The 14,436-nt window shown below is 45.6% G+C and overlaps 1 protein-coding gene across 3 annotated transcripts in view, besides 2 other annotated features; it reads left to right on the top strand.

Annotated features, from left to right (window-relative positions):
- SAMHD1 (SAM and HD domain containing deoxynucleoside triphosphate triphosphohydrolase 1) overlaps window positions 358-14,436 on the top strand; it is a 61,936-nt gene continuing 47,857 nt past the window's right edge. For all 3 annotated transcript variants that reach the window (NM_001363729.2, NM_015474.4, NM_001363733.2), the window contains exons 1-3: window positions 358-630; window positions 5,262-5,328; window positions 10,955-11,027. In NM_001363729.2, the coding sequence (NP_001350658.1) occupies window positions 423-630; window positions 5,262-5,328; window positions 10,955-11,027 (348 nt within the window). In that variant the 5' untranslated portion in view covers window positions 358-422. The remainder of the gene's footprint in view (window positions 631-5,261; window positions 5,329-10,954; window positions 11,028-14,436) is intronic.
- Window positions 644-863: a silencer, noted in NCBI's record as "silent region_12883". NCBI's record gives its function as "represses an Ori minimal core promoter by ATAC-STARR-seq in GM12878 lymphoblastoid cells {active_cell/tissue: GM12878}" and the evidence as "EXISTENCE:reporter gene assay evidence [ECO:0000049][PMID:35858748]".
- Window positions 4,456-5,291: an enhancer, noted in NCBI's record as "OCT4-NANOG hESC enhancer chr20:35575178-35576013 (GRCh37/hg19 assembly coordinates)". NCBI's record gives its function as "activates a minimal SCP1, AML or CMV promoter by ChIP-STARR-seq in naive H9 embryonic stem cells {active_cell/tissue: H9 hESC(naive)}" and the evidence as "EXISTENCE:reporter gene assay evidence [ECO:0000049][PMID:30033119]".

Here is a 14,436-nt window from a genome sequence, read left to right as displayed (position 1 = left end):
TTGGGGCATCTGAAACCCGGCCAAGGTGCGGCGGGTAGTGTACTCATTCGAAGGAGAATACCCCCAATTCACTAGACGAGCCCCTAATTGGGGGTGCGGTGCCGGGCGCGCTCTTTCCTCCCCCTTTCCACCAGCACTGCCCTCAGTTCTGCTTCTAGCCACGCCCTTTCGCGTTCACGTCCAGCGCCCTGGCGGGATTGATTTGAGGACGACTGGACTGCCATTGCGCCTGCGCAGGGAGCCCAAGGCAAGAGCCGCTAGGCTGCCCTGCCCGAAGGGCTCAACTGTCAGTGAGCCTGCGCAGGAGGCCAATAGGCTGCCAATACTCCTTGGACTCCCCGCCAGGGCCCTGCTGTCAGTGCGCCTGCGCGCGGGTCCGGCGCCGAGGTTCTTGACTGCTGTGCCGGACGCCAGGTGTAGCCATGCAGCGAGCCGATTCCGAGCAGCCCTCCAAGCGTCCCCGTTGCGATGACAGCCCGAGAACCCCCTCAAACACCCCTTCCGCAGAGGCAGACTGGTCCCCGGGCCTGGAACTCCATCCCGACTACAAGACATGGGGTCCGGAGCAGGTGTGCTCCTTCCTCAGGCGCGGTGGCTTTGAAGAGCCGGTGCTGCTGAAGAACATCCGAGGTAGCGGCTCCGGAGGGGCTGAGGGGCGAAGGGCGGCGACCTGGGGCGCGGGCCAGGCGCCCTGAGGGAGGGGGCCCCACGAGAGGACCGAGGCCGAGGAGCGAGCCCTGCGGCGGGAGGCACCCGGGAGGGCGGACCTGCGCTGGGGGCGCCGAGGAAAGGAAGACCCGAGGCGGGGGAGGGAGCCCTGCGGCGGGGGTTCCCAGGAGGGCCTGCGGCATGGGGCTCCCGGGACTGACTCCCCGAGGCGGAGGAAGAAGACATGGGGTCGCCTGGGATAGGCGATTCGTAGGATGGGAGCAGGCTCCCGGGATTGAGGACCTGGGAGGGGCAGTCGTAGATTGGGATCTCACTCTCGTGGGTTTCTTCACTAACTTGCCACCCCGGCGCGGGACAAGCGAGACTCGGGTCCCTTTTTTTTAGTTAGAAGGAGATTTTTCCCCAGACCTTGGTGGGCGGCTTGCTGTCATCCAGGCTCGCGGGACCCCTCCGCGCTAACCGCAGCTCCTTGAACACTTGCCACATCAGAGGATGTTCTGGGGCTTTTAGGTTTCGGTTTCCTCCCTGAATTGAGGCTTTTCCTGAAGGGGAAGGAACTGGCTTGGTTAATCTCTGAATTCCCATCACCTTCCTTGGCATCCCAGCAGCGCCCGATAGGCGTGTGTTGACTGCACTTGCAGAACATGGTAAGGAACATGTTTTGCTCTTTAAAAGCAGGTTCCCCTCCAAAATCTGAACCTTGGGGTTGTTCAGTTGACCACTGAATCCCCAGCATGCCACAGTTTGGCCACATCCCCTGGAGAAGTGTTTAGGTTGAGTTTTAATCATATTTTACTGATTCGTATCCAAGCATCCATCCTTGTGAATTCTACTCAACTTTTTGTGGTGGGTGTGAGATTTGACTCCTGCCTTATATCCTCTAGGTGTCCAATAGGAAGGTGATTCTTTGGTGGTTGGGATTTGCAAATTTAGTAAATTTTTGCATTTGTTAGGTGGGGCCCTGTTTGGCTAGGTTGGAAACTGGGGTAGGAGGAACATTAGTGGTTCAGGACCCAAAGATAGCTTGAATGGGTATGGGAAATTGCATTTCTCCTTTTTTTTTTTTCTTCCCCCTTTTGCCCTTTCGTTTCCCTCCACTGCTGGGATGGATTATTACTTTATTTTCTTTGACTAGCAACAAGTGGAGTGAAGTAGTTCCATATTTTCTGTCTCAAAATGTGGTTGGCTCTCTGTTTCAGTGGTTTGTAGATTAACTCGTTACCCTCCAGAATGATGTGTGTTCCTTAAACCTACAACCTATTGCTATCAAAGACACTATGTGCTTTCATTTGGTAAAAACTGACCAACTGTTCCCAATTGCTCATGTCTTAGCTTCTGCTTTGTCTTGACCAAACTTTATTCGGACTTCTCTCTTCCCTTATGGGCCCCTCAACTCTTGCTTACCCCCAGATCTGACCAGGCAGGCACTAAAGCAGTGGAATATGCCTCCCTCTGGTCAGTTTCTTTTGAGAACCGGCTGACCACAGTAGGATGCTGTCCTGTTGGGCTACACTGCTCATTTTCCCTTGCTCGTCCAGGTTCCTATCCAAAGATTCTGCTTATTTCTGCTTGCCCGTCCTTTATCATATAAAAGAAGACCCTTTTTCTGTTGGATTCTTTTTTTTTTTTTTTTTTTTTTTTGAGACAGAGTCTCGCTCTGTCGCCAGGCTGGAGTGCAGTGGCGCCATCTCGGCCCAGTGCAACCTCTAACTGCCTGGTTCAAGCTATTCTCCTGCCTCAGCCTCCCGAGTAGCTGGGATTACAGGCATGTGCCACCACGCCCAGCTAATTTTTTTGTATTTTTAGTAGAGATGGGGTTTCACCATGTTGGCCAGGATGGTCTCCATCTCCTGAACTCGTGATCCGCCTGCCTCAGCCTCCCAAAGTGCTGGGATTACAGGCGTGAGCCACCGCGCCCGGCCTCATTTTTTTTTTTTTTTTAATTAGAGACAGGGTTTTGCCATGTTGGCCAGGCTGGTCTCAAACTCTTGGCTTCGAGTGACCATCCACCCACCTCGGCCTCCTAAAGTGCTGGGATTACAAGTGTGAGCCACCATGCCCAACCTCTGTTTGGTTCTTGGGCCTCTGTTTGATTATTTTTTAAAATTTATTTTATTATTTTATTTTTTTTCTGAGATGGAGTCTCGCTCTGTCACGCAGGCTGAAGTGCACCGGCACAATCTCAGCTCACTGCAACCTCTGCCTCTCGGGTTCAAGTGGTTCTCCTGCCTCAGCCTCCCTAGTTGCTGGGATTACAGGTGCACGCCACCACGCCTGGCTAATTTTGTGTTTTTAGTAAAGACAGGGTTTCACCATGTTGGCCAGGCTGGTCTCCAACTCCTGTCCTCAGGTGATGCATCCGCCTCTGCCTCCCAAAGTGCTGGGATTACAGGCGTGAGCCACCGCGCCCGGCCGGCCTATGTGTTTGATTCCTGAGCCTCTTGCAGATATCTGATATTGGAGCTTTCTCCCTGTAGAAATAGTCTTTCTTCTTTTCTTTTCTTTTTTTCTTTTCTTTTTTTTTTTTTTTTGAGACAGAGTCTCGCTCTGTCGCCAGGCTGAAATGCAGTGGTGTGATCTCGGCTCACTGTAACCTCTGCCTCCCGGGTTCAAGCAATTCTCCTGCCTCAGCCTCCTGAGTAGCTGTGACTACAGGTGCCCACCACCACACCTGGCTAATTTTTGTATTTTTAGTAGAGATGGGGTTTCACCATGTTGGCCAGGATGGTCTTAATCTCTTGACCTGATGATTCACACGCCTTGGCCTCCCAAAGTGCTGGGATTACAGGTGTGAGCCACCACGCCCGACCAGCAATAGTCTTTCTTTCTAATAAAGTTTCTCTTGGCCGGGCACGGTGGCTCACGCCTGTAATCCCAGCACTTTGGAAGGCCGAAGCAGGTAGATCACCTGAGGTCAGGAATTCAAGCCCAGCCTGGCCAACATGGTGAAACACCGTCTCTACTAAAAATACAAAAATTAGCCGGGCATGGTGGTATGTGCCTGTAGTCCCAGCTACTTGGGAAGCTGAGGCAGGAGAATCACTTGAACCTGGGAGGCGGAGGTTGCAGTGAGCCAAGATCCCGCCACTGCACTCCAGCCTGGGCGACCGAGTGAGACTCCATCTCGGAAAAGAAAAAAAAAGTCTCTCTTTATCTAAGTCCATTTTTTTTTTAATTTGATAAGCCAAGCACAAGGTACAGTGTCCCTTTTCTCATTATGGAATACAGCCTCACAAGAAGTCTGAAATAAGTTACTACACTCAACACATTTTACCGATGATGTATGCGAGGTCCAAAGATGTAAAGTAACTTTTCAGAGATCACACCACTACAAAAAAGAGCTAGATTTTTTAAGGTTAGGTCTTTGGACTCTAGAACTCATGTGATCTATACCTTAACAAGTATTCTCATCAAAAACCACTGGAGGCCTGGCCCAGTGGCTCATACCTATAATCCCAGCACTTTGGGAGGCCAGTGTGGGAAGATCACTTGAGCCCAAGAATTCAAGACCAGCCTGGGCAACATCAGGAGACCTCAACTTTACAAAAAATAAAAATAAAAATTAGCTAGGTGCAGTGGCACATGCCTGTGGTCCCAGCTACTCAGGAGGCTGAGGCAGGAGGATCGCTTGAGCCCAGGAGGTCAAGGCTGCAGTGAGATGTGATCGCACCACTGCACTCCAACCTGGGCAACAAGCAAAACCCTGTCTCAAAGAAAATAAAAGAAAATAGTCCAGAGTTCTGGAATTTGAGGTCAGGAAAGATTAGAATTAATTGTATAGAAAGAGAAAGGAAAAAACCCAACAACACACACACACACACACACACACACACACACACACACACCCCTCTTCCAAATCAGAGTATTGAGTGCTTTCCCAGGACACACACACACACACACACACTCACACACACACACACCTCTTCCAAATCAGAGTATTGAGTGCTTTCCCAGGACACACACACACACACACACACACACACACACACACCTCTTCCAAATCACACACACCTCTTCCAAATCAGAGTATTGAGTGCTTTCCCAGGACACACACACACACACACACACACACACACACACACACACCTCTTCCAAATCAGAGTATTGAGTGCTTTCCCAGGAGGTTTGAGAAAAATCAACACTTTAAGCACTCTTGAATTCACGGTTTTAACTTGTTAATTCTAAGAACAATAGACTTAGGTTTCCTTCCCTCCCCAACTCAAACCTTGTTAATTCTAAGAACAATAGACTTAGGTTTCCTTCCCTCCCCAACTCAAAGCTGCTGACCTGGCAAAACCCCAACAGGTAGTCGGGTTTCACTTTCCTTTTTGCAACTGGTTTTTCTTGGAACTAATTTACACAAATAATTTTGAAATTTTCACGTGATTTATCAAAAAATGCTTCTTGGTTTAGTTATTTAATTAAAATTAAGTCTTTACAAGTAGCAGATCAAAAAAGTGGTACTTGGCACAATCCATTGCCTGCAGTGGGTACTCACTTATGTGGATCTGGGTAAATGTTGGTGTATCCAAATTGAAAGAAAATGAAAAGCATATGTTGTATACATTGAATTTGTCTTTTTTCTTCCATAGAAAATGAAATCACAGGCGCATTACTGCCTTGTCTTGATGAGTCTCGTTTTGAAAATCTTGGAGTAAGGTAAGAATGAAGAAATAAATTCACGTTATAACCAAACACACTTTATCCATCTTTCAGGGACAAAGCCCAAAATCTCTGATATAAACTGTCCTCATTTTAAATCTATGAAGTGCTTTAAAACAGCAGAATCCCTTGCCTGCTGGTTTTGTTTGTTCATTTGTTTTTTGAGATAGTCTCTTGTTCACCCAGGCTGGAGTATCTCGGCTCACTGCAACCTCTGCCTCCCGGCTTCAAGTTATTCTCCTGCCTCAGCCTCCTGAGTAGCTAGGATTACAGGTGCCCACCACCATGCCCCACTAATTTTTTTTCGGTTTTTTTTTTTTTTGAGACAGAGTCTCGCTCTGTCTCCCAGGCTGGAGTGCAGTGGCGTGATCTTGGCTCACTGCAAGCTCCGCCTCCCGGGTTCATGCCATTCTCCTGCCTCAGCCTCCCGAGTAGCTGGGACTACAGGCGCCTGCCACCACGCCTGGCTACTTTTTTGTATTTTTTGGTAGACACAGGGTTTCACCATGTTAGCCAGGATGGTGTCAATCTCCTGACCTCGTGATCTGCCCGCCTCAGCCTCCCAGAGTGCTGGAATTACCGCGCCCGGCTGCCCCACTGATTTTTGTACTTTTAGTAGAGATGGGGTTTCACCATGTTGGCCAGACTGGTCTTGAACTCTTGGCCTCAAGTGATCCGCTTGCCTCGGCCTCCCAAAGTGCTGAGATTACAGGTGTGAGCCACCGCGACTGGCCACCTGCTGTTTGTTTTCGCTGTACAAATCCTATGTTTGCTATTACTGTTTATTCCTATTTTAGTTTATTTTTAATTTTATTTATTTATTTATTTATTGAGACAGAGTCTCACTCTGTCACCCAGACTGGAGTGCAATGGTGCGATCCCGGCTCACTGAACCCCCTGGGTTCAAGCCATTCTCCTGCCTCAGCTTCCTGAGTAGCTGGGATTACAGGCATGCACCACCATGCCCAGCTAAGTTTTGTATTTTTAGTAGAGACAGGGTTTCACCATGTTGGCCAGGCTGGTCTCGAACTCCTGACCTAAGGTGGTCTGGAGTTCTGACCTAAGGTGGGCCAAGGTCTGCCCACCTTGGCCTCCCAAAGTGCTGAGATTACAGGCATAAGCCACCGTGTGTGGCCTTATTCCTATTTTAAATAATGTTGCAGACAAATCTTCATCAAGTTTGTAGTGACCAACTTTTTACTCTCAAGTTCAGAATAATTGAATTATACACACTGGGAAATACATAAGAACCAATAGGGAAAAAAATGTTAGTAAGAAAATCAAGGCTACACCCCTATCTTGAGCATATTTCTAGGTTTTCCTAAAGATTGGAATATGCCCTGGTATTAGATTTAAAGACACTATGCAAAACAGGCACTTTTTAGTTGTATAATTTGGGAGAAGTCATTTAACCCTTCAGTTTCTGTACCTGTAAAATGGATAACAATAATGAGATGATGTACATAAAGTGTTGAAGCATATGATTAACGCTTAGTAAATTTTATAGATAGTGATACAGAAAATTAAAAAATTAGCCGGGTACTGTGCATGCACCTGTAGTCCCACCTACACTCAGGAGGCTGAAGCAGGAAGATCCCTTGAGCCCAGGAGTTCAAGGTTGCAGTGATCTATGATAAGCTCCTGCACTCCAGCTTGGGCAGCAGAATAAGACCCTGTCTCAGATAGGTAGGTAGGTAGATAGATACATATATACATACATACATACATAGTTACATAGATCCATCTCTGTGTATGGCTGTAGGTTCTAGGGTCTAGATTAGAGTGGGGCTCCTTTAATGATCTCAGTAGAGGATCTGGTGCTTAAATACTTCTTTTTTTTGAAGCGGAGTTTTGCTTTTGTTGCCCAGGCTGGAGTGCAATGGCACGATCTCGTCTTACCTCAACCTTCACCTCCCAGGTTCAAGTGATTCTCCTGCCTCAGCCTCCCGAGTAGCTGGGATTACAGGCATGCGCCACCATGCCCAGCTAATTTTGTATTTTTAGTAGAGACGGGGTTTCTCCATGTTAGTCAGGCTGGTCTCGAACTCCCGACCTCAGGTGATCCACCCACCTCGTCCTCCCAAAGTGCTGGGATTATAGGCGCGAGCCACTGCGACCGGCCTTAAATACTTCTTAAAATGAAGATTTTGTTTCTGTTAGAAAATTGGCAACAGTGGGGAAATATGGCCTTCTCTTCTGAAATTTTAGTTACATGTTGTTTGTGGTAACAGTAACCAAAGAATCAAAACAAAGGATTATACTGAATTACTTCCTGTGCTGTTGCTTAGTAATTGATAACAGAAGTACATTGTGAAACAAGATCACTGTAGAACATTTAACTGACTTCCAGTAAATATCCTTTGGATCAGAATCTCCAGGGACCTCATCTTAGCCCTTTCTTTTTTTTTTTTTTTTTGAGACGAAGTCTCACTCTGTTGCCCAGGCTGGAGTTCAAGTTCAGTGGTGTTCAAGTGATTCTCCTGCCTCAGCCTCCTAAGTAGCTGGGACTACTGGCATGTGCCACCATGCCCGGTTAATTTTTTGTATTTTTAGTAGAGACGGGGTTTCATCGTGTTAGCCAGGATGGTCTCAATCTCCTGACCTTGTGATCTGCCCGCCTCAGGCCTCCCAAAGTTCTTTTTTTTTTTTTTTTTTTTGAGATGGAGTCTTGCTCTGTCACTCAGGCTGGAGGGCAGTGGCGTGATCTCGGCTCACTGCAACCTCCACCTCCCAGATTCAAGTGATTCTACCACCTCAGCCTCCTGAGTAGCTGGGACTACAGGTGTGTGCCACCATGCCCGGCTAATTTTTGTATTTTTAGTAGAGACAGGGTTTCACTATGTTGGCCAGGGTGGTCTTGAACTCCCGACCTCATGATCTGCCTGCCTCAGCCTCCCAAAGTGCTGGGATTACAGGCGTGAGCCACTGTCCCCGGCATGACTCTTTCATAACCACATTTCAGCCCTCTCAGTCCTCTCAAAGTCCCCTTTACTACTTGTTTCTTGTACATAATAGTTGCTTACTATTTGACCTGAATGGAATTTGTTCTAATACAGTCTTTCTTTTCAAGGGAGCCATGTGCATGTTTGTGGACCCAAGTGCTATTGATTCATTCAGTGAATATTTTTGGAAAGCTCACTATGTACTAGGAATTCTTCCATGAATTTGGGGCACATGAGTGAACAAAACAGACAAAGGAACACTATATTGCAGTGTTCCAGAAGGAACACTATATTGCACGTCTCTGTGCCCCACCTCATAACTCAAATTCTGTAGGACTCCTTAGAGCTGTATTGTTCTGTATAATAACAACTAGCTTCACGTTTAAATTAATTAGAAGTAAATTAAGTAAAAAATTCCTCAGTTACACTAGCCATATTTCAAGTACTTAGTAGTCACTATGGCTAACGGCTACTGTGTTGGACAGAGCAGATATAGAACATTTCCATCATCGCAGAAAGTTCTACTAGACAGTGCTGCCTTACAGGTTGCCAGTGGGATTAGCCCTACCCACCACTCCATCCAGTTGCTCACAGTAGTACCAATGCAATCAACTTGTTAATGGACCTTTGTACTGTTTTTACCTAATTTCCTATTTTACCCTCCCTAGACCCCCCAATCCCTGTGCCCAGAGTTCACCCCAAGATTAATTACTTGCAAGCTCTTATCCTGGACCCTGCTTTCTAGGGAGAATCCAGCTTAGACAAGCACTCCTAGTAGGCCCTCAATTTTATGAACAACCATTGATTTATAAAGGTTTTTTTAACAAGTAAGAAACAGGCCAGGCGTGGTGGCTCAGGCCTTTAATCCCAGCACTTTGGGAGGCCGAGGCGGGCGGATCACGAGGTCAGGAGATCGAGACCATCCTGGCTAACATGGTGAAACCCTGTCTCTACTAAAAATACAAAAACAAAAAAGAAATTAGCTGGGCATGGTGGCGGGCGGCTGTAGTCCCAGCTACTCGGGAGGCTGAGGCGGGAGAATGGCGTGAACCCGGGAGGTGGAGCTTGCAGTGAGCCGAGATCACGTCACTGCACTCCAGCCTGGGCAACAGAGTAAGACTCCATTTCAAAAAAAAAAAGAAGTTAGATAGAAACATTGTCACGTTAAATATACATGTCAATTGTAAGAAGCATTAAATTTCAGAAATGTTGGAACACAGGAATAAAATTCTTTCATAATCTAGATATCCTGGCCCATGACTTCTTTAAATCTTTATTTAATGCCATGTCCTTTGCTAAACAAAACAACCCCCTGGTTTTGGGTGGTTTTATATACTCTAATCAGTGATTTTGGTTTTGTTTTGTTTTGTTTTTGAGTTGGAGTTTTGCTCTTGTTGCCCAGGCTGGAGTGCAATGGCGCCATCTCGGCTCACCGCAATCTCCGCCTCCCGGGTTCAAGCAATTCTCCTGCCTCAGCCTCCCGAGTAGCTGGGATTACAGGCATGCGCCACCACCACGCCTGGCTAATTTTGTATTTTTAGAAGAGACGGGGTTTCTCCATGTTAGTCAGGCTTGTCTCGAGCTCCCAACCTCAGGTGATCCACCCACCTCGGCCTCCCAAAGTGCTGGGATTACAGGTGTGAGCCACTGCGCCCGGCCGATTTTGGGGTTTTAAGCGATGAATACCAAATGTCAGTTTAGGAAAATATTAAGTGGTCACGGGGTTAGTTTAGGTTTGATATTTTATGCTATGACTCCGGTTTTGCTCAACTATGTGACTCCCCTTAAACTAAGTCCACCTATAAGTACTTCTGAAAGCCTGGCTTTACACTGTGCTTGTTATGTCAAACTGATGAGGAGGATAGGGGAATAGGAAAACACGAAATTTGCTGCTTTAATTTATCAGCTGTAATAATGCTTCTGTGTATCCCAAGATATTATTCTTAAGTGTTCTTATTACCATGGGTTCAGTGTGTACCATAGAGGCCAATGTAGTGCCTCTGACTCCCAGTCTATGTATGACTTGTAGAAAGATACTTTTTTTTCAATCTGGTTATCTAGTAGATCAGTAAAACCCTTTGCCTGCACTCTCTGTTGACACCCAGCCAGGAGGGAGGATGATATGCTGGGCCCAACTAGTAATTGTAAATGAAGCAGGATAATGAATCACAGGACTTCGAGCTGCTCAAATTTAATTCCCATTATGTATTTTCTTGAAACTGGAGCATTGTGAGGGAGTACTGACAATGGAAAATGAATATAAATAAAGTTAAAGCCTTCATATGTATTTCATTCATGCTTGAGTCATACCTGGTGCTCATAAATCAATCCAGGATTATGAGGGTAGATGTTGACTTCAGTTTGGTTAAAAGGAAGTACAGTTTGAGCATTGAGTAGACATGGAGATGTGGAGTTTTTCAAGTCTTAAATTTACCAAGAGAGAGGAGGGTCAAGGACAGAAGGCTGTGGGAGGCCTATATTGATTCAGCAGGAGAGTTCCCTATCTTAACAGCAAAGGAAGGAGAGAGTTTCTAGGAGGGGTATGTTTGAATTATTGATTGTTCCTTCCAATCTAACTTCTGTTAGTGTAGATAATATAAAGTTTATTATGTCTACTATATACTGCAGGGATTATTATTAAGCAAATAATGATAGACTTGCTTATCCTATTGTAATTTTAGTTCCTTGGGGGAGAGGAAGAAGCTGCTTAGTTATATCCAGCGATTGGTTCAAATCCACGTTGATACAATGAAGGTAAGAGGATCTGAGTTTGTTATGTTTTTTGAATATAAAGTGATATAACTCAATTATGTAAAATTCATTTTGAAGAGAATAGGAGGAAATCTGCTTCTCAGTGATAGAATTGTGAGTAGTGGATCTTTTCTAAACTTTCTGCACTTTCTAAAATGAGCACAGAGTATTTAAATCAGAAGAAGAACTAAAATATGTTTAAGCATACAGAAAAGCATAAGTAGACCACTACCCAACTTGTCAAATATTAATATTTTGCCTAATTTGCTTCAAGTCTGTTATTTTTAGAGCAAAATATTAGAAACTATTGAAGACCTCCTTTGTACATTCTTTTTTTTTTAATGAAATGTGGTCTTGCTCTGTCATCTAGGCTGGAGTACAGTGGTGCAATCTCAGCTCACTCCAACCTCCGTCTCCCTGGCTCAAGTGATCCTTCCATCTCAGCCACCCCAGTAGCTTGGACTATGGGTGCATGCCACCACACCTGGCTAATTTTTGTATTTTTTATAAAGACGGGGTCTTCCTGTGTTGCTCAGGCTGGTCTCAAACTCCTGGGCTCAAGAGATTGACCTGCCTTGGCCTCCCAAAGTGCTAAGATTACAGATGTGAGCCCCCACGCCTGGCCCTGTTTCTATTTATTATGTTTCTATCCTTTTCTCCCTAGAAGTAATAAGCATCTTCCTGAATTTGATGTTTATCATTGTCATGAATGGTTTTTACTCTTATTGCATATTTATGTATATCCATAAACAATGTATAGTATTGTTTTACATATTTTTAAACTTTATTTTTTTGAGACAGAGCCTGGCCTTTTTTTTTTTTTTTTCCTCTTTTTGAGATGTAATCTCTCTCTGTCACCCAGGTTGGGGCTCAGTGGCACTATCTTGTCTCACTGCAACCTCTGCCTCTCAGGATCAAGTGATTCTCCTGCCTCAGCCTCCCAAGTAGCTGGGATTACAGGCATACACCACCACACCCGGCTAATGTTTTTGCATTTTTAGTAGAGTTGGGGTTTCATCATGTTGGCCAGGCTGGTGTCAAACTCCTGACCTCAAGTGATCCACCCACCTCGTCCTGCCAAAGTGCTGGGACTACAGGCATGAGCCACTGCGCCCAGCCAGAATGTGCATTTTTCACAAGCTCTTCAGAGTGATTCTAAAACCATACTTGATGAAATGTTTCTTGTTTTGTTAGTGACAGGAAATAGACCTTATTTACTCTTTTGACATTCCTAGGTTAAGAAAACTTAGTTTCAGACCTGGGAGAAGATGTAGGATATCTTCTTTTTTTGTACTTTTTTGCCCGATCATCATTTGCATTTTTCACTTTTTTTAAAAAATAGATGTAATGTATAGTATTTGAGTTATTTCAGATCCCTCTCTATAAGAATACATATTTTAATTTTGCTTTTGCAAGTTATAGACTTCTTTTCTTTCTTTCTTTTTTTGAGATGGAGTCTTGCTCTGTTGTCTAGGCTGGAGTGCAGTGGCACAATCTGGCTTACTGCAACCTCTGCCTCCCAGTTTCAAGTGATTCTTTTGTCTCAGCCTCCCAGGTAGCTGGGACTACAGGTGCACACCACCATGCCCAGCTAGTTTTTGTATTTTTTTTAGTAAAGACAGGGTTCCGCCATATTGGTCAGGCTGGTCTCGAACTCCTGACCTCATGTGATCCGTCTGCCTTGGCCTCCCAAAGTGTTGGGATTACAGGCATGAGCCAACACGTCTGGCCTACCCGGTTATTTTCTTTTTCTTTTCTTTTCTTTTTTTTTTTTTTTTTTTTTTTTTTGAGAGGGAGTCTCGCTCTGTTGCCCAGGCTGGAGTGCAGTGGCATGGTATCAGCTCACTGCAACCTCTGCCTCCCAGATTCAAGCAGTTCTCCTGCCTCAGCCTCCTGAGTAGCTGGGATTACAGGCACCTGCCACCACGCCCAGTTAATTTTTTTTTTTTTTTTTTTTTTTTTTTTTGGTATTTTTAGTAGAGGCAAGGTTTCACCAGGTTGGCCAGGCTGGTCTTGAACTCCTGACCTCATGATCTGCCCACCTTGGCCTCCCAAAGTGCTGGGATTACAGGCGTGAGCCACCAGCCCGTTCTAGGCTTATTTTCTATTGAAAATCACATCTGAAAAAATTTAATGAACATTTTTGGTTCAACTATATAATAATGTTTTGTTGTTGTTTTGTTTTGTTTTGTTTTTGAGATGGAGTCTTGCTCTGTCTCCCAGGCTGGAGTGCAGTGGTGCAATCTCGGCTCACTGCAACTTCCAAATCCCAGGTTCAAGTGATTCTCCTGCCTCAGCCTAAATCAGCTTCCTGAGTAGCTGGGACTACAGGCGCATGCCACCATGCCCAGCTAATTTTTTGTATTTTTAGTAGAGATGGGGTTTCACCGCGTTAGCTAGGATGGTCTCGATCTCCTGACCTCATAATCCACCCGCCTCAGCCTCTCAAAGTGCTGGGATTACAGGCACGTGCCACCGTGCCTGTCCCTGTTTTGTTGTTTTGAGAGGGAGTTTCACTCGGTTGCCCAGGCTGGAGTGCAGTGGCGTGATCTCAGCTCACTGCAACCTCCGCCTCCCGGGTTCAAGCAATTCTCCTGCCTCAGCCTCCTGAGTAGCTGGGATTACCAGTGCATGCCACCACACCCGGCTAATTTTTGTATTTTTAGTAGAGACGGGGTTTCACCATGTTGGCCAGGCTGGCCTCGAACTCCTGACCTCGTGATCTGCCTGCCTCGGCCTTCCAAAGTTTTGGGATTACAGGCATGAGCCACCGTGCCCAGCCAATAATATATTTTTGAGGTAATATTTAAGGCAGTCAGTGGTTTCAATTGCCCACTTTTATTCTTTCTATTTTTCTGTAAAAAGAACATTGTTGGCTGGGTATGGTGGCTCACACCCGTAATCCCAGCACTTTGGGAGACTGAGGTAGGTGGATCACTTGAGCCCTTAAGTTCAAAGACCAGCCTGGGCAACATGGTGAAACTCCATCTACAAACAATAGAAAACAATAGAAAAATTAGCTGGGTGTGGTAGTGCACACCTGTAGTCCCAGCTACTTGGGAAGCTGATATAGGAAAATCACCTGAACCTGGGGAGGTGGAGGCTTCAGTGAGCCATGATCACGCCGCTGCACTCCAGCCTGGGCAACAGAGTGAGACCCTGTCTCAAAAAAAAAAAAAAACAAACCAACATTGTTTAACCTCATTTATAAATTATAAATGACAGTTGTTGGAAATAGATTTTCAAACTACTGAATCACGGCTTAGTAATGAAATCAATACCTTAAATGAATTTAACTTCATCAGCAATGCAGTTCAACAAGAATTGACCTAGTTTGCTACTCAGTTGCAGACCTCAAGGATTTCTACCCTAATTTCATACCTACCTAACTTGATACTTAAAACATAAATGC

The sequence above is a fragment of the Homo sapiens genome, chromosome 20, assembly GCF_000001405.40.
Source record: "Homo sapiens chromosome 20, GRCh38.p14 Primary Assembly".
Taxonomy (NCBI): Eukaryota; Metazoa; Chordata; class Mammalia; order Primates; family Hominidae; genus Homo; species Homo sapiens.
The sequence above is the reverse complement of the archived record's forward strand: the minus strand, read 5'-3'. Positions and strand labels throughout refer to the sequence as shown.